Source organism: Homo sapiens, chromosome 21, assembly GCF_000001405.40.
Source record: "Homo sapiens chromosome 21, GRCh38.p14 Primary Assembly".
Taxonomy (NCBI): domain Eukaryota; kingdom Metazoa; phylum Chordata; class Mammalia; order Primates; family Hominidae; genus Homo; species Homo sapiens.
In genome coordinates this window covers 31449291-31476662 of record NC_000021.9, presented here as the reverse complement: position 1 = coordinate 31476662, position 27372 = coordinate 31449291, and the positions used below count along the sequence as shown (strand labels likewise).

At 46.8% G+C, this 27372-nt stretch overlaps 1 protein-coding gene and 1 pseudogene across 8 annotated transcripts in view, besides 2 other annotated features; one reads left to right on the top strand and one right to left on the bottom strand.

Annotated features, from left to right (window-relative positions):
* Positions 1 to 27372, top strand: part of TIAM1 (TIAM Rac1 associated GEF 1) — a 440670-nt gene that overhangs the window by 82425 nt on the left and 330873 nt on the right. For 3 of the 8 annotated variants that reach the window (NM_003253.3, NM_001353688.1, NM_001353693.1), the window contains exon 2: positions 12628 to 12680. The exons of 1 other annotated variant lie outside the window; for it this stretch is intronic. The gene's annotated coding sequence lies outside the window, so the exon portion shown is untranslated. Of the gene's footprint in view, positions 1 to 12627; positions 12748 to 15343; positions 15440 to 27372 lie in introns of those variants that run through there. 4 more of the 8 variants (NM_001353692.1, NM_001353689.1, XM_047440969.1 and 1 more) reach the window with 2 other exon arrangements.
* Positions 5100 to 6063: an enhancer, noted in NCBI's record as "NANOG-H3K27ac-H3K4me1 hESC enhancer chr21:32842913-32843876 (GRCh37/hg19 assembly coordinates)". NCBI's record gives its function as "activates a minimal SCP1, AML or CMV promoter by ChIP-STARR-seq in naive H9 embryonic stem cells {active_cell/tissue: H9 hESC(naive)}" and the evidence as "EXISTENCE:reporter gene assay evidence [ECO:0000049][PMID:30033119]".
* MTRES1P2 (MTRES1 pseudogene 2) lies at positions 23347 to 24211 on the bottom strand (annotated as a pseudogene).
* Positions 25863 to 26076: a silencer, noted in NCBI's record as "fragment chr21:32822900-32823113 (GRCh37/hg19 assembly coordinates)". NCBI's record gives its function as "represses an EF-1alpha promoter that drives an FKBP-Casp9 reporter gene in an ReSE screen in K562 erythroleukemia cells {active_cell/tissue: K562}" and the evidence as "EXISTENCE:reporter gene assay evidence [ECO:0000049][PMID:32094911]".

Sequence of the window (27372 nt, the reverse complement as noted above, 5' to 3'; positions counted from 1 at the left end):
GATTTTGCAAAAGCATCTGACACCCATCATTTGGTTGGCTGCCTGTCTGGACACTCATCCCCACGGAAAATGAGAAGAGAAAATGAAGAATCTGGATATTTATGATTGTTGTCATCTCAACAAATTGGCCCCTATTAGTGAATCTGTAATTTACTAAAGAACAAGTACACACAAAATGAGTGACAACAGCTCCCTCGCTCAACCCAGATCGTTCTTTCAAGAATTACCAATGCAGTGCAGATGTTCTTCCTGAAATGGCCCAAGCCCTTAATCGTTTCTCTTCCTTCCGTTCCAGCAAAAGAGAAGACAAATTTTGCATCAGCCAGTCCTTAATCTTTCTGTCAGCACAAATATCAATGGTGTAAATCGTGAAAATGGCAGTAAAGCTAGGAGACATTTTTATAACTCTGGCAAAGCTAATAATGCACATTTCATTGTTGAGAATCATTGAGTTTAATTGGCTAATCAATTTTTAGGCCCTTTCCATTTGTATTTTGTTTAATCAACAAAAATAAATCGCCCTGCCAACCTTGAAAGACCCAAGTTGGAGAACAGTGGCAGATATTTCGTTTGTCCTGCCAAAAGTGCTTTTCCAACAGAAATGTCTTAATTGAAGATGATTTATATTCAGAAGTGCTGATGTTTTATCATTTGTCTAAAGAAGGAAAAAGCTGTGTAAGCAGGCAGTAGGCAGCCGTTTTAGGCATTGTTTTTGACATTTATCTACACTCTTTATCCTTCAGATGTTTATATAAAAATGACCTGCCCTACCCTTTCTTGCTAATGATTCGGACATCACCTCATGAAGTAGTTGTCAAGTTGTTCCCATAACTTTTGGTTAGAATTAGGATTTGCTCAGGAGAACTCCAGGCCAAGATCGTTTCGCTGTTTTCTCTGCGTTTCCTGATTCCTGCTCTCTGGGCCATGGGTGGAAAATGGCTGACATCTCAGCACTGGAGGACAGGCCACATGGGTGTGCCTTGGTGAAGTGCACTGATTCTTGGTTTCTTGGCAAGAAAACATCACTAGACCCAGCTGGCCATGATGTATCAGGGCACCCTGAGGCCTTGATCTGGGTGGGTGACAAGCTTTCTGAGAGTTGCAAGAATGTAGCGTTTGCTTTGATTGCCTCCTTTGCACCCCAAGGAAGGGGAAGAGATGAAGAAAATAACATTTATTTAATACCTACATGGTGTAGTCTCATTTCTTACAACAATTCCAGGAAGTCGCCAAACCCTATGTAGCTGATGAAGAGGACGAGTTTCAGAGAACTTCATAACTAGAATAGCTCACAGTGCCGGATGCAGTGGCTTACTCCTGTAATCAGTAATCCGTAATCCTAACACTTTGGGAGGCTGAGGAGGGTGGATCACTTGAGCCCAGGAGTTTGAGACCAGCCTGGGCAACATGGAGAAACCCTGTCTCTACAAAGGAATACAAAAATCACCTGGATGTGATAATGTGCACCTGTAGTCCCAGCTACTTGCAGGGCTGAGGTGGGAGAATCACCTGAACCTGGGGAGGTCGATGCTGCAGTGAGCTGTGATCAAACCACTGCACTCCAGCCTGGGAGACAGAGTAAGACCTTGTCTAAAACTAAATAATAATAATAATAATAATAATAATAATAATAATAAAAAACTAGCTCACAGCAACTTATATGTGGAGCGGCTGCAATTCAAATCCTGTTCTGTGGGTCTCCAATTATCTTCCCATTTCACCGGCTGCAGGAAGCTGGAAAAGTTCCCTTCCTTACCCTAAACAGGTTTTCCCTGTAGGGCTCCCAGGGTGCAGGAACTGAAGAATAATAAAGGCTAAAGGTTGGCTGGGAGCGGTGGCCTGTAATCCCAGCACTTTGAGAGGCCAAGGCAGGCGGATCAACTGAGGTCGGGAGTTCGAGACCAGCCTGACCAACATGGAGGAAACCCCGTCTCTACTAAAAATACAAAATTAGCCGGGCATGGTGGTGCATGCCTGTAGTCCCAGCTACTCGGGAGGCTGAGGCAGGAGAATCGCTTGAACCCGGGAGGCGGAGGTTGCGGTGAGCCGAGATCACGTCATTGCACTTCAGCCTGGGCAACAAGAGTGAAACTCCATCTCAAAAAAAAAAAAAAAAGACTAAAGGTTTGTGAGTGCTTGTTGTGTGTCTGCCACTTTTCTAAGAGCTTCATATATATTAATTCATTTACACCTCACTTGCCTGTTAGCTGCTGCCATCCTCATCTTACAGATGAGGAAACTGAGGCACAGAGTGCCTGGGGCTGGACCATGGTCACATGGCTAAATGTTGAGGGAACCAGGATTTGAATCCAGGTGTCCTGACCCAGAGTCTGTGCTGTTAGGATTCTGCCTTTCATTGACTGTACCCTAATTGGTTTAATATTCTCTAATACGATTTGGATGCTTGTTCCCTCCAAATCTCATGTTGAAATGTGATCTCCAGTATTGGAGGTGGGGCCTGGCAGGAGGTGTTTGGGTCATGGGGGTGGATCCCTCACAGACGGCTTGGTGCCATCCCCATGGTGATGAGTGAGCTCTCACTCTGTTAGTTCATGGGAGAGCTGATTGTTTGAAGAGCTTGGCACTTCCTTCTCTCTCTTGCGCTCTCTCTCGCCTTGTGACATGTCTGCTCCCCCTTTGCCTCTGCCATGAGTGGAAGCTTCTTGAGGCCTCACCAGAAACAGATGCTGGTGCCATGCTTCTTGTGCAGCCTGCAGAACTGTGCGCCAAATAAACCTCTTTTCTTTGTAAGTTACCCAGTCTCTGGTGTTTTTTTATAGCAGTGCAGGAACAGACTAATGATTCTGCAAGTCTCCAGTGCAGGGCGGCACCAGCTAAGGTGACAGAGGAGGGGAAAATAGTGATTTTATGGAACTTATTTCAGACTTTGTTACGGACAGTGGAGGCCACTGATTTAGTGATTGTCTCAATCCCTGGCTCACTCGCTGATCTTTGACTGTACTGGGACCCCTTTCCTGCTACTTTTTCTCTCCACTTCCGGTTGTTTTCCTTGTGTGCCCCTGCTAAAGGTTTATTTTCCATGAGGCCCTCAGACTGACGGGAGGCCAGCTGTGCTCCAGGGGCCACCAAGAAGCCAACATAGTGACCTGAAAATTACTCCAACAGCAAAAAAAAACAAAATTAACCTTAAATCAACCTGGGATCTAATATGCAACTCAGCAACTTCTAAGCCATGTTTTTTTTTTTTTTTTTTTTTTTTTTTTTTTTTTTTTGAGATGGAGTCTTGATCTGTCCCCCAGCCTAGAGTGCAGTGGCACGATCACGGCTCACTGCAAGCTCTGCCTCCCAGGCTCACGCTATTCTCCTGCCTCAGCCTCCCGAGTAGCTGGGACTACAGGCACCCGCCACCACGCCCAGCTAATTTTTTGTATTTTTTAGTAGAGATGGGGTTTCACCGTGTTAGCCAGGATGGTCTCGATCTCCTGGCCTCGTGATCTGCCCGCTTGGCCTCCCAAAGTGCTGGGATTACAGGCGTGAGCCACCGTGCCTGGCTGCCATGTTCTTTTTGTAAGTAACTAATTCTGGGAAGACAACAGAGTGGGAAAACCCCAGAAAATGCCTGAAACTCCACAGCATCTTTCTGTTTACCGAGGCCATTCCCTTGCCAGCTCCAGACCGTGCATCTTTGGTACCAGGGTCAGGTGATGCCTGGATTGAGTGAGGGGTGAGGAAGAATTTCCACATTTGACTGGAGTGCGAAGACTTGCAGCAGATCAGATCAATTACTGTAATGACGGTGAAAATACCTGCAGAGGACAATTTCTGATGCGTACGCCATGCCAAGCTCTGTTCAAAGCATTCTGCTTATATTAATCCTTAATCCTCCACTAATCTTGTTAGCTAGATGCTGTTATTATCCCCATTTAACAGATGAGAAAATCTATGTGAAATGTGCATGTCTATTGTAAGTTTAGGAACATTAAATTACAGAACCCATCTTAGGATCAAGGCCATGTAGTAGTAGGCTCATGGGCTGGTGGTGCCAGTATCTGGAGCACAGAGGCCTCTTTGTTAATGGTCCTTGGAAACTCACTGAAACATGCGGGGCATGTGACAGCCAGCATCTATTGAGTTATTGCTGCACACCAGACACTATTTTTATTTATTTATTTTTTTTCAGACAGTCTTGCTTTGTTGCTCAGGCTGGAGTGCAGTGGCACGATCTCGGCTCACTGAAACCTCTGCCCCCTGTGTTTAAGCGATTCTCCTCTCTCAGCCTCCCGAGTAGCTGGGACTACAGGCATGTGCTACCACACCCAGTTGATTTTTGTATTTTTAGTAGAGATGGGGTTTAGCCATGTTGGCCAGGCCGGTCTCAAACTCCTGCCTTCAAGTGATCTGCCCGCCTCAGCCTCCCAAAGTGCTGGGATTACAAGCGTGAGACATTGAGCCTGGCCCAGACACTATTCTGATAACTTTGTTTGAATTTATTTAAACCTCACAGAAACACAGGTACTATGATTATGATCATCCTGATTTATGGATGAGGAAACTAAGTCACAGAGAGATGATATAACTTGCACACGGCCGTCCAGTCAGTTCATGGCAAGACCAAGTGTCCACCGAGGCTCCCCATCCAGGCTCTTAACCACAACAGCCTTGTGCCTCTGAGCTGAGGACACTGACACAGCTGGAAAAGGGACCACAGCATGGGAGATGGAGATCATTGTAGGGCTCCCTGTGGACTCAAGGCTCCCGCCCCTCTCAGGTGGCATTGCCTGGCTGGCTTGCCACTCCCTTTATTATTATTATTATTATTATTATTATTATTTGAGATGGAGTTTCGCTCTTGTTGCCCAGGCTGGAATGCAATGGCGCAATCTCAGCTTACTGCAACCTCTGCCTCCTGGGTTTAAGTGATTCTCCTGCCTCAGCCTCCCGAGCAGCTGGGATTACAGGCACGCACCACCATGCCTGGCTAATTTTGTATTTTTAGTAGAGATAGGGTTTCTCCATGTTGGTCAGGCTGGTCTCTAACTCCTGACCTCAGGTGATCCACCCGTCTCAGCCTCCCAAAGTGCTGGGATTACAGGTATAAGCCACCTTACCTAGCCCTTGCCACTCCCTTTGGGCAAGGGCCCTGTGGAACTGGGAAGTTGATTCCATCAACCTCCCTTGTCACCTGCTGTTTGTTTGTACCCGTGATCACCCCTGCAGGGAAGAAAACAGAGAAGAGCTCTGATACTAATCCCAACACACATCTGAAGGCATTTACTGGGTCTTGGTGACATGCAAAGCACATTTTCTCCTTGACCCCACAACAGCCCTATGAGGTTCATTCTGAATGATCGTGTCTGTGTGGTAAAGGGGGGAACCGAGCCTAGTGGGAGGGGGCCGCTGATCCTCCCCACACAGCTCCTGAGGGGCGGATCTGGGCTCCGGAAGGGCTGACCGATGCCCACCGGGGCAGGAATCTGCAGACAGCTCCGGGCTTCGTTGTGCCCACCTGGGCATTTCCTGTGTGGTCCGCTCTGCTGTTCTCTTGTCTCCTGAGTATTTTTTCCCTCCTGGTTTGCTGCCTGGAGACTCTCAGCAGCCCGGAGGTTTTCAGAACAACACGATGAGATTTTCCCCAGCCCCGGAACTGCTTTTGCTGTTGCTTGTGCATCCGACACCTGCTGGGCTGATGAGCTTTGCAAATGTCACTGAGTGTTGAGAGGGAGCTGTGAGAGATTTGCAGGAACGCACCATCCCAGCTGCCCCCTCGGGGGTGGGTGGCGGCTGGAGGGGTGGTGCTGGTCCTTCCTCCAGCCCAGCTCCCCTTGGCAAGGGAAGAGGTGGCATTCCTGCTCATGGAGCTGACCTGGGTACCCACCACCTGCCGGTTCCTCTCTCTTCTCCTGGGGAGACAGTGGCTGTTTCTACATGGTTTTCCCGGCAGCATTGTCTCTTAAAATTTTTGGTCACCTTTTGAGGATATAGAAACATTTTGACCTTTTCCTTTCTGGATTTCTCTTTTCAGAAAAATGCACACATACACACAATTTTGTGTAGAAAATTCGAGGTTTTAGCCAGGTGTGGTGGCTCACACCTGTAATCCCAGCACTTTGGGAGGCTGAGGCGGGTGGATCACCTGAGGTCAAGAGTTCGAGACGAGCCTGACCAACATGGTGAAACCCTGTCTCTACTAAAAATACAAAATTAGCCAGGCCTGGTGGCATATGCCTGTAATCTCAGCTACTTGGGAGGCTGAGGCAGGAGCATCGCTTGAACCCTGGAGGTAGAAGTTGCAGTGAGCCGAGATCGTGCCACTGCACTCCAGCCTGGGCAACAAGAGTGAAACTCTGTCTCAAGGAAATATAAATAAGTAAATAAATAAATAACATTTGAAGTTTTCAGCCTGGCGTGGGAGCTCACACCTGTAATCCCAGCACTATGGGAGGCTGAGGTGGGCAGATCGCCTGAGGTTAGGAGTTTGAGCCCAGCCTGGCCAATATGGTGAAACCCTGTCTCTACCAAAAATATAAAAATTGGCCAGGTGTGGTGGCACACACCTGTAGTCCCAGCTACTTGAGAGGCTGAGGCAGGAGAATCACTTGAACCTAGGGGGCCAGGGGTTGCAGTGAGCTGAGATCGCGCCACTGCACTCCAGCCTGGGTGACAGAGCCAGACTGTGTCTCAGAAAAAAAAAAAAAAAAAATTCAAGGTTTTCACTGACACTCGTAACACTCGGAGCCTCCTCAGACAGTGCGCCACACCTGCCCCTACCCATGCCTGGAAATCTAGCTTAAAAATCAGGTTCTCTGTTTCTTCCCTCTCCATTGAGGGCAAAGATAGAAAATTGATTTTTTTTTTGTTTGTTTGTTTTTTGAGATGGAGTCTCGCTCTGTCACCCAGGCTGGAGGGCAGTGGCGCGATCTTGGCTCACTGCAAGCTCTGCCTCCCGGGTTCACACCATTCTTCTGCCTCAGCCTTCTGAGTAGCTGGGACTACAGGCGCCCGCCACCACACCCGGCTAATTTTTTTGTACTTTTTTTAGTAGAAATGGGGTTTCACCGTGTTAGCCAGGATGGTCTCCATCTCCTGACCTCGTGATCTGCCTGCCTTGGCCTCCCAAAGTGCTGGGATTACAGGCGTGAGCCACCGTGCCTGGCCAGAAAATTGAATGTTAAATTCTCTGCCCCTCTTCTTCTTCTACTGTTGTCAGTCAGAGGCTTGGCAGGAAAGTATATCGCACACTCACAGGTGACAGAAGAGAGTCACGAGAGAAAGTGTTTTCACGGAGTTAAGAAAAGCAGACAGGCTGGGTGCAGTGGCTCACACCTCTAATCTCAGCACTTTGGGAGGCTGAGGCAGGAGGATTGCTTGAGCCCTGGAGTTTGAGACCAGCCTGGGCAACATAATGAGACCCTTTCTCTACCAACCCCCCTGCTGCTTCCCAGATTAGCCAGGTATGGTGTGGTGGCGTGTGCCTGTAGTCCCAGCTACTTGGGAGGCTGAGGGGCAAGATCATGTAAGCTCAGCACGGGAGTTCAAGGCTGCAGTGAACTATGATCGTGCCACTGTACTCCAGCCTGGGTGACAGAATGAGACCCTGTCTCAAAAAAAAAAAAAAAAAAAAAGGGATTGGTTCCACTGGGGCAGCAGGAGGAAGCCCCTTTGTTCCCTAGAACTGAAGCCTGAGAGAAAAAGGGACTTGTGATCGAGAGACCTCCAGGTGCTGCTGTGGGGAGGAAGCAGGGGGTCAGTGTTCCTACTGTCTTGACCCTCTTCCGACAGTCATCCCTGCCCGTGGTGCCTCCCCAGGGCCAGAAAGTGTGGAAGGGCAGCCTCCCAGGCACAGATCCCAGAGGAAAAAGAGGAAAAGTCATCTGAAGGGCAATCTGAGAGTATTTAGCACGTCGCCCTTCTAGGTTCGTTTTTTTTGAGATGGAGTCTCGCTCTGTCACCCAGGCTGGAGTGCAGTGGCACCATCTCGGCTCACTGCAAGTTCCGCCTCCCGGGTTCACGCCATTCTCCTGCCTCAGCCTCCCAAGTCACTGGGACAACAGGCACCCGACACCACGCCTGGCTAATTTTTTTGTATTTTTAGTAGAGACGGGTTTCACCGTGTTAGCTAGGATGGTCTCCACCTCCTGACCTCGTGATCCGCCCGCTTTGGTCTCCCAAAGTGCTGGGATTACAGCCCTGAGTCACCGTGCCCGGTCTTTTTTTTTTTTGAGAGGTAGTCTCACTTTGTTGTCCAGGCTGGAGTGCAGTGGTGTGATCTTCGCTCACTGAAACCTCCACCTTGCGGGCTCAAGCGATTCTCCTGCCTCAGCCTCCCAAGTAGCTGGGATTACAGGCATGCACCACCACACCCGGCTAATTTTTTTTTTCTATTTTTTCAGTAGAGTCAGGGTTTCACCATGTTGGCTAGGCTAGTCTTGAACTCCTCACCTCCAGTGATCCGCCTGCCTTGGCCTCCCAAAGTACTGGGATTACATGCGTGAGCCACTGTGTGTGACCAACCCTTCTGGATTCTTAAATAACCTCTGCCCAGCAAGTAGATCGCACTTTTGAGATCAAGAAAGGCAGCTGTGTCGTTTTATTTATTTCTACTTTTTTTTTTTTTTTAAGAGTTTCGCTCTTGTCGCCCAGGGTGGAGTGCAATGGTGTGATGATCCTGGCTCACTGCAACCTCCACCTCCCAGGTTCAAGCAATTCTCCTGCCTCAGTCTCCTGAGTAGCTGGGATTACAGGTGCCCACCACCACGTCCAGCTAATTTTCATATTTTTAGCATAGACAGGGTTTCACCATGTTGGCCAGGCTGGTCTCAAACTCCTGACCTCGTGATCCCCCCACCTGCCTTGGCCTCCTAAAGTGCTAGGATTACAGGCATGAGCTGCCGCACCTGGCCTGTTTTTACTTTTATTATTATTTTAGAAACGGATATTCTGTAACCTTGAACCCTGGACTCGAGCAATCCTCCCACATCAGTGTCTCAAGTAGCTGGGACTACAGGCATGCCACCATGCCTGGCTAATTTTATTTATTTATTTATTTTATTTTTATTTATTTATTCTTTTTTTTTTTGAGATGGAGCCTCACTTTGTTGCCCAAGCTGGAGTGCAGTGGCCCAATCTTGGCTCACTGCAACCTCTGCCTCCTGGGTTCAAAGGATTCTTCTGCCTCAGCCTCCCAAGTAGCTGGGATTATAGGCATGTGTCGCCACGCCCAGCTAATTTTTGTATTTTTAGTAGACACGGGGTTTCACCATATTGGCTAGGCTGGTCTCGAACTCCTCATTACCTGCCCACCTCGGCCTCCCAGAGTGCCGGGATTACAGGTGTGAGCCACTGCGCCCGGCCTTATTTTTATTTTTTAAGAAACAGGGACTCTCACTCTGCCACTCAGGCTGGAGTGCAGTGTTGTGAACGTAGTTCATTGCAGCCTGGAACTCCCGGACTCAAATGATCCTCTTGCCTCAGCCTCTGAAGTAGCCAGGGCAACAGGCATGTGCCACCACGCCCACTTAATCTTTAAAAGAAGTTTTTATGGAGATGGGGTCTTGCTATGTTGACCAGGCTGGGGTCAGCTTTAAATGCTCTCCTTTGGATTTGGGGATTATGGAACTTTGTTTAACTTTGCTAGGGTAGTTTAGTAATTCTGTTAGTGATCGCAAGCTTCCTGGTTTTTGCCAGAGGCTTTTAAATCCAGTCTTTTAGTTTCAGTTTTTTTTTTTTTTTGGCCTATTTTATTTATATGCCTGTCATTACAAGGCCACTTTGAAAAGCCTCATTGTCTTCATGATGATGAATCAATCTGCCTCAATATCACAGGGAATTGTATATAAATTGCTCACATGGCATTATGTGCAAAGGTAGTTTCCCCTTATTGTACGGTAGCTTGATGTTTAGAAACGGCCATTTCTAGATTTTGCAAAAAAGCGCAATTATACGCGGGAAGAAATGGAGAAACTAGAAGGTGTTATGTGGTGTCAGGTATTACTGGGCACCAGCTACAACTCACCCCACTGAGCTTCGGGCCAGGACGTCTGGATTCTGCTCTTTGCTCTGGCTAGTACTTCCCTGTTGCCTTGGGCACCACCTCGAGGTATCAGGACCTCTGTTCCCTGGAGTTACTATTACTGATGAAGACTTGCTCCTTGACCAAACTTGAATCCGGCTTCTCTGAGCCCCCTTCTCAGCTAGGCCGTTAGCCCACCCCCACCTTCCAGGCCTTCCCAGTTAGTTTTAGCAAGAATCCTGCTAAAGTTAGAGAGCTGCTAGATGAGTTTAGAGAGATATCCTTTATTCTGGATATCTGATCACACCTGATCAAGTTCCTTGTCCCTATCCTTGTTGTCTAAGTCAACCTGCCTTCAGCAGGAATCCTGTTAAGTTGATTTAGCAAGAATCCCCCTGACTTTAATATCTCTTCTTAGTAATTTCCCCTCCACAGACGCCTCCCCGGCTCATTGGCTACTGATCTCCAGACGTCTTTGCTGTATTTGGAGTTGAGCCCAATCTTTCTCCCTATTGCAATGACCTTGACACCTGTTGTTGTAATCCTAAATAAAGTCTGCCTTACCATTTGTAAAAAATGTCAGAATAATTTTTTGCTTTGACATGACCCATCATAAAACCTTGGAATTGATTGGGATCCTCAAGGACCTCTAGTTCAACCTCGCCTGAATATCAAGACCTGTAAGAAGGCCGGGCGCCGTGGCTCACGCCTGTAATCCCAGCACTTTGGGAGGCCGAGGCGGGCGGATCACAAGGTCAGGAGATCGAGTCCAGCCAGGCCAACACGGTGAAACCCCGTCTCTACTAAAAATACAAAAAAATTAGCCAGGTGCGGTGGCTCACGCCGGTAAACCCAGCACTTTTGGGAGGCCAAGGAGGGCGGATCATGAGGTCAGGAGATTGAGACCATCCAGGCTAACACGGTGAAACCCCGTCTCTACTAAAAATACAAAAAATTCGCTGGGCATGGTGGCGGGCGCCTGTAGTCCCAGCTACTCCGGAGGCTGAGGCAGGAGAATGGCGTGAACCCGGGAGGCGGGGCTTGCAGTGAGCCAAGATCGCACCACTGCACTCCAGCCTGGGTAACAGGGCGAGACTCCGTCTCAAAAAAAAAAAAAGAAGATCACTACTCACTGCCAGGGGCCCAGTCACTGCCCTTATAGGCTGGTTCTCCTTGTTAAGAAGCCCTGCCTTGGTCTCAAGCAAGGGCTGAAATCTGCCTCAGCTTTTACTCATTCATCTTAATTCTGTCTTTCTTTGAAAGCTGTTCCCTCCCTTATTAAGAGAATATATTAGCTTTTAACCAAGCATAGTGGCACATGCCTGTAGTCCCAGCTACTTGGGAGGCTGCGGTGGGAGGATCGTTTGAGCTTTGGAGTTCAAGACTACAGATCTTGCCACTGCACTCTGCACTAAAAATAAATAAATAAATAAAAATAATAAAATAAAATAAGAATATATTAGCTTTGAAAAGAAAAATTTTTTTTTGAGACAGGTTCTTGCTCTGTCGCCCAGGCTGGAGTGCTGTGGTGCAATCACGCAATCACCGTTCACTGCAGCCTTGACCTCCCAGGTTGAGGGAATCCTCTCACCGCAGCCTTCCTAGTCGCTGGGACTACAGTTGCATACCACTGCACCAGGCTGATATTTTTCATTTTTATTTTTAAATTTATTTTTATTTTTTTAGGCAGAGTCTCACTCTGTCCCCCAAGCTGGAGTGCGGCGGTGCCATCTCAGCTTATTGCAACCTCCGCCTCCTGGGTTCAATCAATTCTCGTGTCTCAGCCTCTCAAAGTGCTGGGATTACAGGTGTGAGCCACCGCATCTGGCTTTTTTTTTTTTTTTTTTCCCGAGACGGAAGCTTGCTCTATCACCCAGGCTGGAGTGCAGTGACTCGATCTTGGCTCACTGCAATCTCCGCCTCCCGAGTTCAAGGGAGTCTCCTGCCTCAGCCACCCAAGTAGTTGGGATTACAGGTGCATGCCCCCACGCCTGGCTAATTTTTGTATCTTTAGTAGAGACAGGGTTTCACCATGTTGGCCAGGCTGGTCTTGAACTTCTGACCTCGAGTGATCCACCCACCTCGGCCTTCCAAAGTGCTAGGATTACAGGCGTGAGCCACCGCACCCGGCCTGTATTTTTATTTTTTGTAGAGACAGCGTTTTGCCGTGTTGCCGAGACTGGTCTTGAACTCCTGGGGTCAAGTGATCTGCCAGCCTCAGCCTCTCAAGATGCTGGGATTAGGGTGTGAACCACTGCGCCTGGTGCAATTTTAACCATCTTAAGAAAATAAAAATAAAAATAGAATAAAAACGTATTACTCATCTTGTGTCCTTGAACAGGATTCTGAGCCTGGTTGAGCCTGTGTTGCCGACCTAGGAATATTGTTACTGTAGAAGGCTGTTAGGGTGATGTGCCGGGGTTGACTCTGTGTGGACTCCATCTTTATTTCAAGGTCCTGGATGGTTCTGCTCCTCTGCTTCTAATTTTACGGCCTTTGTTTCTTTCCTCTGTTATTAGCGATGGCTGTTGCCTCCTCTGGTAGAGTTTTATAAATGACGCACTTCTTTTTCTTCTGTGGAATAAAATGGATGGGCTTTGTGGAAGCTGTTTGTCACTCAGAAGTTTTTTTGTTTGTTTGTTTTTCTTACCTTCCAGGTTGATGGTCGCATTCCAGATGTAAACAGCTTCAGAAGCCTGACGGTCATATGGTGAGCAGTTTACACTTTCATATACGCCCTGTCATGTGCTTTGAAGGACTTTCTAGGGGCATCAAGGGTATGTGAATAAATTTGCTTTTTCACTTATTTGTCTATTATCTAGCCCCAAATCTGTGCCTGCTGTTTGTTGATTTTCACCCCCTATTCTTTTTTTTTTTTTTGGAGACGGAGCCTTAGTCTGTTGCTGGAGTGCAATGGCGCTATCTTGGCTCACTGCAACCTCCGCCTCCTGGGTTTAAGCCATTCCCCTGCCTCGGCCTCCTGAGTAGCTGGGATTACAGGTGCCCGCCACAATGCCTGGCTGATTTTTGTATTTTTAGTAGAGATGAGGTCTCGTCATGTTGGCCAGGCTGGTCTCGAACTCCTTACCTCAGGTGATCCGTCTGCCTCGGCCTCCCAAAGTGCTGGGATTACAGGCATGAGCCACTGCACCCGGCCTCTTACTTCTTTTTTAACATGACAATATTCTGTTGGAAGTGAGGCAAGAGCAAAGTCAGGGAGACCAATTAGGAGGTGACAGTGATGAGGGTGCTGGCGATGTAGCTGGTACTGGCAATGGGCTGCTGGCGATGGAGATGCAGCAGATTCTGGAACCCTTTGAGGGTTGAATTGACAGGGTTTGCTCCGGGCGGAGTGTGAAGTGTGAGAGGAAGATGTGTCCACGAGAAGGAAGAACCCATGTATTTGGGGTTTGTGAAGTGACAGTGGTTGATCACGGCTGCTCTGGGCTCAGTGGGCTCTTCTCGGCCCTTCGGCAGGTAAGAGTTCAAAGCTGGAGTCGAAAGGCTTATGTCTTGAGCTCTCATCGAGTTGTTGATTAGTTCCTGGGTAAGGTCACTCCCTGGTAGAGCAGTTACCTCTTTTGAATTGGTGACCACAGCCTGCGTCCCCAGCCCTGGTGTGCTGCTAGACATAAGAAGAGGCAGGCTGGCTGGGCGCGGTGGCTCATGCCCCTGTAATCCCAGCACTTTGGGAGGCCGAGGTGGGTGGATCACCTGACGTCAGGAGTTGGAGACCAGCCTGGCCAACATGGTGAAACCCTATCTCTACTCCAAATACAAAAATTAGTTGGGCATGGTGGCAGGTGCCTGTAATCCCAGCTACTTGGGAGGCTGAGGCAGGAGAATGGCTTGAACCTGGGAGGCGGAGGTTGCAGTGAGCGAAGATTGCATCACTGCCCTCCAGCCTGGTCAATAGAGTGAGACTTGGTCTCAAAAAAAAAAACAAAAAAAAAAAACAAAAAAGTGGGGTTAGGTAGGCAGTTCGGAGAGGTCACTATAGAATCTCCAGTGGATATGCAGTTCAGGGGACAAACCCCATGATGGAATGTTGCTGCTTCTGTGAGGGAGAGGCCCTCGTGTCTTGAGAGTTGTGGTTGTTGAGAAATGATGCCTCCCTGGTATTAGATTGGTGCAGAAGTAATTGCAGTTTTTCCATTACTTTCAGGGGCAAAAACCACAGTTACTTTTGCACCAACCTAATATCTCTCGACTTGGTTTTTGTCTTACAAGAATACTCCTGGGTGTAATCGGCTATGCCTGGTGGATACATTAGGATCAACTGGATCTCTTTGCTTATTCCTACTGTGTTCTTTCAGGAGTGTCTTAAGTGTATCTCTGCTTCACTCCTCCTTTCTAGCACCCTGAGAACTAGAACAGGGGTCAGCAAATCACAGCCCATGGGCCTGTTTTTGTAAATAAAGTTTTATTTGGAACACAGCCATACTCCTTTGTGTACCTGTTATTTATAGCTGCGCTTTCTTGTTACAACAGCAGAGTTGAGTAGTTGTGAAATATGGCCTATAAAGCCTGAGATCGTTACTATTTGGCCCTTTATTTTAAAAAAAAGTTTGCTGATCTTTGGGTTAGAAGAGAAACAAAGGATGAATAAGGCTGTAGTAGATGGATCACACAGGAATACTTCTCGTCCCCGACACATTGTTCAGTCTTAGTACATGTGAATGTGAAGTTTGTAGCTCACAAACTGTGGCTTTAAAGTATCAAAACTGGCTGCACATGGTGGCCCATGCCTGTAATCCCGGCACTTTGGGAGGCTGAGGCGGGAGGATCGCTTGAGCCCAGGAGTTCGAGACCAGCCTGGGCAACACGGAGAGACCCCGTCTCTACAAAAATATAGAAAAATTAGCCAGGCATAGTAGCGCATGCCTGTGGTCCCAGCTGGCCGGGAGGCTGAGGTGGGAAAATCACCTGAGTCTGGGAAGTTGAGGCTGCAGTGAGCCATGATCACACTACTGCACTCCAGCTTGGGCAATAGAGCAAGATCAGGTCTCTCACACACACACAAAAGGATCAAAATTATTTAATTTTCCTTGTTTACTCTTGTACATGTGAGACATTATCCTTATATTTGAAATGTAATTCAGCATGGGTAGGCTCACACTAAATAATGGTGTCCTTTTACTTCATCGATAATTGAATGCTGGCAGTCCCCAAATTCAGCATTTTAAATTTTTTAAATTTTTATTTTTTTGAGAGAGGGCCTCTCTCTGTTGCCCAGGCTGCAGTACAGTGGCGTGATCTCAGTTTACTCCAACCTCCGCCTCCCGGGTTCAAACAATTCTTTTGCCTCAGCCTCCTGAGTAGCTGGGATTACAGACATGCACATCACGCCCAGCTAATTTTTTGCATTTTTAGTAGAGACGGGGTTACACCATGTTGACCAGGCTGATTTCGAACTCCTGACCTCCAGTGATCTGCCCGCCTCGGCCTCGCAAAGTGCTGGGATTACAGGTATGAGCCACTGCACCTGGCCTCAAATTCAGCATTTTGAGACCCGATTCGCTGTGCCCTCTTCTTTTACAGAGTAAAGCTTTCTCTTTCATAGGAGTATGCTACCATGTGGTTTGTTTTATCTGTGTTTGGTCGGGAGTTCCCCATATTTTAATTGACTATTTCATGCTAAGGGCTTTCAAAATACGTAGACTTGTATTTTTTCCCCCTAAATGGAATTCATCTTGTTTTATCTAAGTTATTCATTTTTCCTTTGGCTATATTGTGTGCTACATTATAATGGATGGCTATTGAATTCTTTATGTAAAAAAAATGAAATAGATTGAAAATTTAAAGGACTTTTCTTTTTTAATTGCATCTTAATATAAAAACAGGAGTTTAATTATTAAAAATGGTGGAAGAAAAGAATTAAAACAGTAAAATAGCTTACCAAAGATTCTGTTTTATAATGCATTCAGATATAATTGGTGTCATAATGTGTAATTAACAGTCTTTGAAGTGTGAAGCTTAAGTTTGGGTGGATGAAGGACCTCTTAGGATGCGGGGATGTCTATACTTGTTCTTCAACAGTAGCACTTCCTTTTTCATTTTTGTTTTTGAGACAGAGTCTCGCTCTGTTGCCCAGGCAGGAATGCAGTGGCACCGTCTTGGCTCACTGCAACCTCTGCCTCTCAGTTCAAGTGATTCTGTGGCCTCAGCCTCTCGAGTAGCTGGGATTACAGGTGCCCACCACCACACCTGGCTAATTTTTGTATTTTTAGTAGAGATGGGGTTTCACTATGTTGGCCAGGCTGATCTCGAACTCCTGACCTCAAGTGATCCACCCGCCTCAGCTTCGCAAAGTGCTGGGATTACAGGTGTGAGCCACCACGCCCAACCTTGAACAGTGGCACTTCCGGAGTGGTGCACAGATTGTGGGGTTTTGCTACCTGCCTTTATGTGTGTGTGGTCGAAGGAGATGGTAGAAGAAAGGCAGGGACAGGGGATCATCCTCTGATGCTTGACCACCCACCCACTACTGCCTGGGGTTTGTCAGGGAGGAGAGGACAAACTCCTTAAAATGGGCAGTGGCTTCAGCTTCAGGTCTCAGGCTAACTTCCTGGGGAGTTGGAGTCTACCACGTGCTAGACTGACCTGGGGCTTGTTTAAAACCTGCAGAGGAGCTTCCTTGGTGCATTTTCTAGATCCACACTGTAATCTGGGTGTGGGTCCCCCATGGACCTTGTTGCCATGCTGGCTGGGAATAATAAGTATGAGGAAAAGCACCCTGAGGAAAAAGAGGGGAAGATAATGGAACCTCAGGCTGAGAGTCTCAGCCTCCGTTTTTCCCATGCACCATCCGGCTCCAGTTGGCTCTTTGAAGACTGGGAGACCAGAACACTCAAGAACACAAATAAAATATGAGAGAGAGTATACCACGCAGATCTGAGCTTATATTCACTCTTACTCTGGTCCAAAAGTTCCTTGTGCATTGCTCCCTCTGGCCAGGCTTCTCCCAGGTGGTGGGTGCTCTTCACCACCCCCTGATGGTAAAATCCCAGAGTCCCAGCCTGTTGGAGAAAGTTATTAATAGCTTCACACCAGAGTTTCTGGTTGCGGACGCCATCTAGGGTGGGGAGGCAACACTGCCCAGCACCCTTACTGGAAAGAGACCACTAATAATTAAACATCTGGGGCCTTTTCTCTTCTTTTGAAATAGCTTTTAGGAGTGAATTCTTCTTTGGAATATCTTTATCAATGGCAGATATTTCTCTTTTTGGGTGGTTTTGATTTTCAGTAAAATTCTTAATGCAGTTGCCTCTCAGTTGGTTTTCTTCTTCCTTCTTGCCTGCATAATGTCCATTCTCCACAGAATAGCTAGAGGGATCTGAATAGTTTGCATCCAGAAGTTCAAGACCAGCCTGGGCAACATAGCCAGACAATCTCTATGAAAAAATAAAAAAAATTAACTGGGCATGGTGGCACGTGCCTGTAGTCCTAGTTACTCAGGAGGCTGAGGTGGGAGGATCGTGTGAGCCTGGGAGGTTGAGGCCACAGTGAGCTTTGATCTGCAGTCAGCCTGGGTGACAGAACAAGACCCTGTCTCAGTCAATCAATCAATCAATCAATAGCAATCAAGTCTCCTTACTCCTCCGGTTGAACTTCCAATGGCTTCCCATTATAGTTTGTTTGAAAGCTAGACTTTCTGCTGGGACTAGGAGGCCTCAAGGGATTTGGCCCCGCCTCTCTCTCACCTCCTGTCCTCCTCATTTAGGGCACTTCAGAGGCCTTTCTTCTGGGACTAGAATACACGCAGCGTGCCCCTGCTACAGGCCTTCCCACTGCATGCCCCCAATACTCTCCTTCCAAGCTCTGCCTGGCTAGCCATTCACTTCCTTCAGGTCTTGGCTCAAATATCGCCTCCCCGGACAGGCTTCCCTGAGAACCTAAGCTGAAGTAGCAGCCCTCTCCCCAGACCCCTCCCTCCCCTCCCCTTCCTGTTCCGGCTCTGTTCTCGTCATGGCACTCATGGCCACCTGACTCTTTCTCATGGACGTATTCATTGTCAGTCGCTCCCATTAGAGTAAAGGGTTCCCAAGGATGCAGGTGCCCATTGTCTAAATCAGCGCAGGTGCTGTCATTCAGAGACAGGTCTGCTAAGCAGGTAAATTCTTCAGTTGGACAGTGTCTGGTAAGTACAGTTTCCCAAGAAGAATACATTGAGGGAATAGTTCAGACTTAGAAATATATATTGTGATCTATCTCGGTAACAAAACCAAACCAGGACAGTTTTCTTTTTTCTTTTTCTTTTTCTTTTTTTTTTGAGATGGAGTTTCGCTCTTGTTGCCCAGGCTGGAGTGCAATGGTGTGATCTTGGCTCACTGCAACCTCCGTCTCCCGGGTTCAAGCGATTCTCCTGCCACAGCCTCCTGAGTAGCTGGGATTACAGGCGCCCGCCCCCTATGCCCAGCTAATTTTTGTATTTTTAGTAGGGACGGATTTCACTATGTTGGCTAGGCTGGTCTTGAACTCCTGACCTTAGGTGATCTACCCACCTTGGCCTCCCAAAGTGTTGGGATTACAGGCGTGAGCCCCCGCACCCGGCCGATTGTTTTATCGAACCTCATGTGTTAGGGTAGCCCACAGTGTGGAGGGTTGTAATACAAGGTGTCTGACTTCCTGTGCCTTCAGGCCTCAGTAGCCTCCCTAGTCCCCTGGTCTAGTACAGTTTTAGTTGGGTAACAAGGGGACTTGCCTATCTCAGGATCTCTCAGTTTCTGAACTACTGACATTGTGGGCTGGATACTTTGTGGTGCAGTCTGTGCCAAGTATCGAAGGATATTTCAGTGCAGCCTTGGCCTCTGCCCAGTAGAGGTCAGGACACCTTCCTAGCTGGGACAACCAAAATGTCCCCAGACATTGCTAAATGACCCCTGGAGGCAGGAGGTGGGGGGACACAAGATTACCCTGGTTGAGATCCACTGGCTTAGTGAAACACCTGCATACCCAAGGTTCCACCATTATTAACCTTTTATACCATTCTTTATCATTTACCTATTAGTGTGGCTGAGATTTGCTAATGTATAAGAAAGTGCTTTGAAACATAGCATGTTATTCAAATTTAGATATGACAATGACCGTAGTTTTCTTTTGTCATCTACATTTGTGGTCTCCGTTCCTTTGTTATCATTGTCTTACTTTTCATTTGTCATTTATGAAATATCTCCCCCCTAACCAGAATGTTGCTCTTCACTAATATATTGAAGTGTGTTTGATGGTTAAAATCACAGAGAAAGTCTTGACTGGAAGGAATCTTGAGGGACCTTTGGACAAATATTAAATGTCCTGTTAATGTCGTTGTCATTGCTGTCATTATCATGATCTTTTTCAATGCCTTTAATTTAAAGATGAGGAAGCTAAGGGGACAGTGGTGCACCCAAATCTTGGCTAATGGTAGAGCAATGACCGTCTGGGTGTTTCTGTGGAATTTACTTGCACTTTTGTTTTCTGTGAAGTTCGTGCTGGGATTAGCAGAGCTCTCTACCTCCTCCTCTGAGCTCCCTGCCGGAGCCTGAACATAAAGTGCCCGTATTCTGGGCTCATGGAAGATTTGTTAATAAGAAATTTTCTAAAAAAATGATCAGGGAGGAGACATGGGGAGTCAGTAAAAAGGGGGAGAGAGGAGCATCTTAAACTGCAAAGATGTTGAACTGGAAAAGGAAAACTGTGAAAAACATTGCAAAAGGAAAAGAAATAGAAGGAATCTGTGGAAGAATCAAATCAACCAAGTGCAATGTTGGGTCTTGTATGGATCCTGATTTGAACACAACAACTGTGAGAGAAGGAGAGAGAGGCAGACAGAATCAGGGACATTTAAACAGGGAATGGTTAATTGGTGGTGGTAAGGATTTTTGGGTGGTGGGTGGGATGATGTTTAAGTAAAAGGTCCTTCTCTTTTAGAAATAAGTGTTGAGGTATTAATGGATGATAGAATAGGATGCTTATTTTCTTCAAAATAAATAAGCCAGTGTTGGGGGAGTATAGCAAACTAGGATTGAATAGTTGAAGCTATATCGTGAGTACATGGGGATTATGTACCTACCATAAAACATTTCCAAGTAAAAAGTTTTAAAAACATGAAAGTTGATCAACTGTAGCACATCACAAACCTCTTTGCAGCCTAAAATAATAATGAAAGAAGCAGTGTGAGAAATTTGCCAACTTTTTCATCTTATCTTAAAAAATCTTCCAAATGCAGCAGACGTTTCCCAGTTTCCCTGGCAAAGGCCCTTTGCCCTGAGTGACAGGCGGATATGGGAACAGGAGCTCGAGGAAGCTCACCCTTGCCAGGGCGGCAGGGAGGCTACTGATCCTCACGCACCTGGTCCTGGGTTCCGCCAGGTATGACCCTCTCTGTGCCACAGTGTCCCTGCAGAGCTGATAGGAGAGTCTTCCTTCCTGAGCCTCCTCCATCTCTCCTGCACCCTTCCAGAAATGATCTGTGGACCAGCCTACCTTTTTTTGCAAATGTTTTATTCTTTAGATAATATACAAATTTTAAACAGTCACAGAAAGATAAGAATATAATGCAAAAGAGATTTCTTTTCCAACAACCCCCTTCTGGAACCACTTGAGTGTAGTGACATATTGATGTTCTGCTACCCTGGAATTCTCAGTGTGTGCTTCCCACAACCAGGAACATTCTCCTGTGTAATCTCAAGATAGCCGTTGATATCCGGAAATTAACACGGACACATTGCCACCCTCTAGTCCTCAGACCCCAGTCAGATTTCTCCCCTTGTTCCTGGAATGTCCTTTGTAAGCAAAAGGATCTAGTTCAGAATCATGCATCACATTTAGTGGTTTCCTTCAGTTGAGATCAGTTCCTCAGTTTTTCCTTGACAGCCATGATTTTCCTTAACACTTTTGAGGATGGCAGGCTATTGTTTTCTAGAAGATTCCTCAATTTTGGTTTGCCTGATAATTTTTCCACAATTAGAATCTGGTTCTGCATTTTTGGCAGCAGCGTCACAGAATCGCTGTGTTCTAGCGCTTCCCATCTGGTGGTCCAGATTTTGAGCTGTTCTACTATTAACTCATAGTTTACTGTGTCTTGTTCAGTGGCCTATATTTCATTACTCTCATTCTACTAAAAGTACAAAAATTAGCTGGGCGTCATGGCAGGTGCCTGTAATCCCAGCTACTCAGGAGGCTGAGGTAGGAGAATAGCTTGAGCCTGGGAGGTGGAGGTTGAAGTGAGCTGAGATCATACCACTGCACTCCAGTGTGGGCGACAAGAGTGAGACTCCGTCTCAAAAAAAAAAAAATTAAAATTAAATTATTTTGATACTCATATTGCCACTCATCTGGCTGAGAGGAGCTTGTTTCTCTGTGCTATCATTCTTTAAGTACTTCCTTACTTTCTAGCCTATGTTCTAGGGTCTTTTTTTTTTTTTTTTTTTTTGAGGCAGAGTTTCACTCTTGTTGCCCAGGCTGGAGTGCAATGGTATGATCTCACCTCACTGCAACCTCTGCCTCTTGGATTCAAGCAGTTCTCCTGCCTCAGCCACCCAAGTATCTGGGATTACAGGCGTGTGCCACCATGCCTGGCTGATTTTGTATTTTTAGTAGAAACGGGTTTCTCCACGTTGGTCAGGCTGGTCTCGAACTCCTGACCTCAGGTGATCTACCCCTCTCAGCCTCCCAAAGTGCTAGGATTACAGGTGTGAGCCACCGTGCCTGGACTCTAGGCTCATCTTATTCTTTGCTTGCCCCAGCAGGGGAACCAGCCATTTCTCTAAGGAGTCGTGGTTTCTTTTAGTGGACACCAGGACGTAGAAACCAAAATCTGGGCTTAAGGTGTGCTCCCTGCTTATTGGGGAGTCGCTGTCCCCAGACGCTCACTAGGGAGTTACATCTTCACACACATGAATTCACACTGATGCCTTCAATTCTGATTCAGCTCCACAAGGTTCATTCTAGTTTTCTCTTTTTCCACATTTAAATGGCTTCTCCAACAAGCAAAACTCTGGTGCCCATTATCCTTCATATCTTTACTTATTTGGTCAACTGGCATGTTTGTAACCAATCTCTATGTCCTGGCTCTACCTCCTCCCACGTGGATGCCCTCCTTGTCATGCTTGGCTTGGACACGCGTGCTGGGCTGCTGTTCCACATGGCCCCTTCCTCACCCTGCTGGGTTGGGTTGGACACCCCACTCAGTGACATCATGGCCTCCCCTTCCTGTGTGAACGCCTACCTTGCTCTGGCCCGTGTTAAGACTTCAGGAATGGATTGCTTGGAAAGGAAAGTTTTTGTTTTTTACATATATAAGAAAGGATCATAGTACACATGTTGTTTTCTGACATGCTCTTAAAATTTTTAACCTTATGAGATCTCATGGACATCTTACAACAGTAATACATGTAGACCAATCTCATTGCTTAATGACTGCCTTGAACCATTCAGTAAATATTTTCCTGAGCATGTGTTTTGTACTATGTATTGTTCTGAAATCTTGGAATTTATCAGCAAAAAAATACAGACAAAAATCGGTCTTTGTGGAGCTTGCATTCTAGCAGGGGGAGACAAAAACAATCAACATAACAAATAGTAAATCTTAGAGCATGGCAGAAGGTGATAAATGGTCTGGATAAAAGTACAGCAGCTCATGAGGTAACTGGAGTGCAATTAAAAATACATTGGTCAGGGTAGGCATTTATAGGAAAGGCTTTGGGCAAACAATGGAAGGAAATGTGTCTATGGAGGAAGAGCATTCTGGGAAGAGGTAATAACAGCTCGTGCTGGAGTGGGAGCAACAGAAAGGTGGCCAGTGTGCCTGGACCAGGCTGAGCAAGAAGGAGCGTATAGAAGGTTCAGCGAGGTCAAGCAGGCCAGGTCATGTTGGTCTTTGTAGCACAATTATTTCCCCCCTCTTTTGGCCATTTCCTTTTTAACCCATGGAAATGTATTCATTCTACTGCACTTTCTTTTTTTTTATTTTTTAAAATTTATTTATTTATTTATTTATTTATTTATTTATTTATTTATTTACTGGAGATGGAGTCTCGCTCTATTGCCCAGGTTGGAGTGCAGTGGCGCAATCTCACTGCAACCTCTGCCTCCTGGGTTCAAGCAATTCTCCTGCCTCAGCCTCCCGAGTAGCTGGGACTACAGGCGTGCGCCACCACACCCGGCTAATTTTTGCATTTTTGTAGACATGGAGTTTCGCCATGTTGGTCAGGCTGGTCTCGAACTCCCGAGCTCGGGTCACCTTGACCTCCCAAAGTGCTGGGATTACAGACGTGAGCCACCATGCCCTGCCCCCTGGTTTCTTAATGGCTGTCAGCTGGAGGCCACCTCAGTGCTTAGAGGCCGTTCTCCCTACCTATAGACACCCACAGTTCCTGCCACACAGCCCCTTCATAGGCAGTTCCAACATGGCAATTTTCTTTTTTTCTTTTTTCTTTGACTGCTTCCTCTACCACTAGAAAGCAGCTGTATTGCAAAAAGCAATCCGTTTATTTAGACATTCTCTTCCTAGGCAACTTTAAGTTTTTCCACCGCCGTAACACCACTGTGTTTTTCACTTTCAGTCTTCAAACACTTTTTTCAGGAGAATCCTCATCACTGTCTCGGTTCCTCCTTCTTTATCCTCTCCAAACAGAAGATCCAATATATCTCCCAGATACATTGGATCCAGAAGATCTCCAATGAGAAGATCCAGTGTATCTCCCACTTTGACCGTTCTGTTTTTCTTCCATAACTTTTCCCCATTCAGCCTGAGTTCACCTTTGTAGAACGCATCTTCCACTTTGTTTCTCCCAATATCTAGGCCTGTCTTCAGGACATCGTCATACCAAAAAGACTGCACTGCTTTTTCCAGGTCTTGATAGTCTTTGACTATCGTAGGGTCATCCTCAAGCTCCTCTTCCTGCTCACTCATCTCATCATGATTGCTGTCTTCCTCAGAGTCCTCTTCATCTTCTACTTTTTGCAGTGACTTTGTAGTAGATTTATTAGAGCTTTTATTACTTTTGAGTCTTATGGAAAATGGAAAAATATATTCTGGAGATATTAAAAGCCCTGAGAATTTCAGTGAGAAAATATTATGGATAAGTCTTTTATAATTTGGTGCACATAACTTAGTGCTATATCGATTCCAGGAAGTACAGAGTTTGTGTGACGAAGGTGTCCCTCGGAGAACACCCCAGAGTCCAATCCAGGTATCTGGCTTTCTTAAAACAATGGCAAGCAATTTGACACTAGTCATAGCCATGGCGCTTATAACCTTTCTTTTGTTGTTGTTGTTTCGAAATAGGGTCTTGCTCTGTGGCCCAGGCCGGAGTGCGATCTTGGCTCACTGCAATCTCTGCCTCCCGGGCTCAAGTGATTCTCATGCCTCAGCCTCCCGAGTAGCTGGGACTATAGGTGTGTGCCACCATGCCTGGCCAACATTTTGTATTTTTAGTAGAGACAGGATTTCATCATGTTGGCTCGGCTGGTCTTGAACTCCTGAGCTCGGCAGTTTGCTTTTTCAAGGCCCAGCCTGCTTAGATGAAATCTTACATAATGAAATATAATCAGAGGAGTGACACCTCATCATTTTGTCATGTCCTGCCCACATTCAAGGGGAGGGGTTATACAAGAACATGGATCATTTGGGATCGATCACCTTAGGATGTGCCCTCTGTAAGGTGGTCTGCCAATCTTGGAAGTTTAACCTGAAACCCAAACTTACTGTTTTCCCTCTTCCAACTTCTTCATCTCTATTAGCATCACCTCCAGTGTTCCAGCCACCAGATTTTTAGTCTGGGTGTTAGCACTGACCCTTCTTTTTCTTTGTCATTTTCAGTATCCTTGCACTTACGAAGTACTCTCAAACTTTCCTGGACATGTCCTTTGTAAACCATCTTCCTAAACACTAGTTTTTGTATCTCTCACTCTCTCTTTATCTCTCTCTCTCTCTCTCTCTCTGTGTCTCACACACACACACACACACACACACACACACACACACACACACGCACACACATGCTTTCACTCAGCCTGGTGCCTGGTGTTGGCTTAATTGTCCATCCTTTTCTCTATGAACAAATTGCTTCACTTCCACATTTCTGCTGTGTTGGTTTGGAGCTTGTCTGTCCTTCCTGGGATGTCCTTGGCCACATTTCCCATTACCCCTCCCAAGCCACCGCATTTGCTCTTTCTCTGAACTACAGACTCTGGTCCACTTAGGCCCAGTGACTTTCTTTATGTTAGAATCATCAAGGTCATTGAAATTGGATTACTCAGTCATGTGTAGACTTGGCTAACTTCCCTGTATGCAGTGTGTATATATACATCTATAAAAGTAATGCGGGGTGAATTATCTGAATTTAAAAATTCATGAGAAAAATATGATAATATTAATCAAACATGCTGCTGTTTGGCAGCCAGTCACCAAGCCCTCCTGTCCCCGTGGCCGACTCTGCTGATGGCTGGGCAGCCACAGTGTGATGGATGGTGCTGTGGCATGCCTGTGGCCAGGTGGGCTGGCCGCACCTGTGGCTCTGGGCCTGATTTATGCTGGCCTCGGAGCCGCATATTGCTCCACGGGATGACGCAGATGCCGGGGCCTATCCTAGCATGTGGGACCTCAGCCATATCCATCCAGAGCGAACCTTTTTTTTTTTTTTCCTCTGAGAATCTCAGTTTAGCTTCTTAGCTTAATTGACCACTAGATGGATTAGGAGCTGCTTAATGATGTCTGAAGCCCACAAGGACTGTTTTGATAGACTCTTGATATGGTTTGGCTGTGTCCCCACCCAAATCTCATCTTGAAGTGTAGCTCCCGTAATTCCCACATGTTGTGGAAGGGACCCAGTGGGAGGTAATTGAATCATGGAGGTGGCTTCCTCCATACTGTTCTCATGGTAGTGAATAAGTCTCATGAGATCTGATGGTTTTAAAAGGGGAAACCCTTTCCGCTTGGCTCTCATTCTCTCTCTTGCCTGACACCAATGTAAGGCACGCGTTTCGCCTTCTGCCACGATTGTGAGGCCTCCCCAGCCATGTGGAACTGTGAGTCCATTACACTTTGTTCTTATAAATTACTCAGTCTCGGGTATGTCTTTATCAGCAGCATGAAAACAGACTAACACAACTCTCAAGGAGGGAAGAGAGTCCCCCTGTCCCCCTGGTGCCTCTGTGGGTCAATGCTGCCCTTCACTGAGGTCCTTTGGGTATGTGCTCTGCATTTTCCCAGGCCCAGGAAAGCAATGTGCAGAGAGAAAGCACCTGTTCTGCCTTGAAGAATCTCGGATCTGGGTGGGAGGCAGGGTGCCCAGGGGCAAGAGTGACACTTCCTAACAATAGAGCTACAGGAGGAGCTGGCACCGTTAATAAGCACGACCTGCTTCTTGCAGAAAGTCAAGGAAACATTCCAAGAAAACATCTCGGACGTGCTTCTCCTTGGAGTAGGAGAGAGGCACTGTTGTTTCTGTAGGGAAGTTGGATGGGGCCTCTCTGAAAAGAGGTAATTTGCAGGATTCCAGTTATGATAGGATACAGAGTTGTCTTGTATATTCTGGGAAGAAGGGAAATTGCATCCTGCCTTTGTCCGATAACAGGCAGTGGGGAAAAGGGTAGCAATGCTTTCGGGGCCCAGGAGGCCTGTTTGCTGCAGCTGCACGATTCACGAGCAGCTCCTTCCATTATCCCTTATATTCTGTGGGGAGGGAAGAGGCAAGGCCAGTTACGTGGTTGCTGCCTGATTATCGGCCTGGCTGCCCAAAGGAAGTCCCCCAGGCCCCTCTGGCCTTCCTCTCAACCAACCTGCCAGGCATTTGCTTTTCTGCCTAATTCAGTTATGCCTCAGTGTGAACATTTTCTGCCTAGGCTTGGTCAATCTGCAGGGACCTCTCTTGGTACTTGACATAGTCAGTTGCCTGACTACAAACCAGGCCTACCCTGGATAGAAAGAAAAGGGAGTTGTGACAGTTGCCAGGAAGATTTCTCTGTGGAAGTGGCTGGTGTTTTTCTGGGCAGAAACTTTGTGGAGGGAACAAGCATTTAATTAAAAAACAGACCAGGCGCAGTGGCTCCCACCTGTAATGCCAGCACTTTGGGAGGCCGAGGCGGGCAGATCATCTGAGGTCAGGAGTTCGAGACCAGCCTGACCAACATGGTGAAACCCCGTCTTTACTAAAAATAAAAAATTAGCTGGGTGTGGTGGCGCATGACTGTAATCCCAGCTACTCAGGAGGCCGAGGCAGGAGAATCGCTTGAACCTGGGAATTGGAGGTTGCAGTGCAGTGAGATTGTGCCACTGTACTCCAGCCTGGGAGACAGAGCAAGACTCTGTCTCAAATAAATAAATAAATAAAATAAGAAACAAAACAAAAAGAACTATGACTGTTTTTTTGAGCACCTAGTATGTGTCTGGTATTGGGCTAATTCCTTAGTATCTGTTG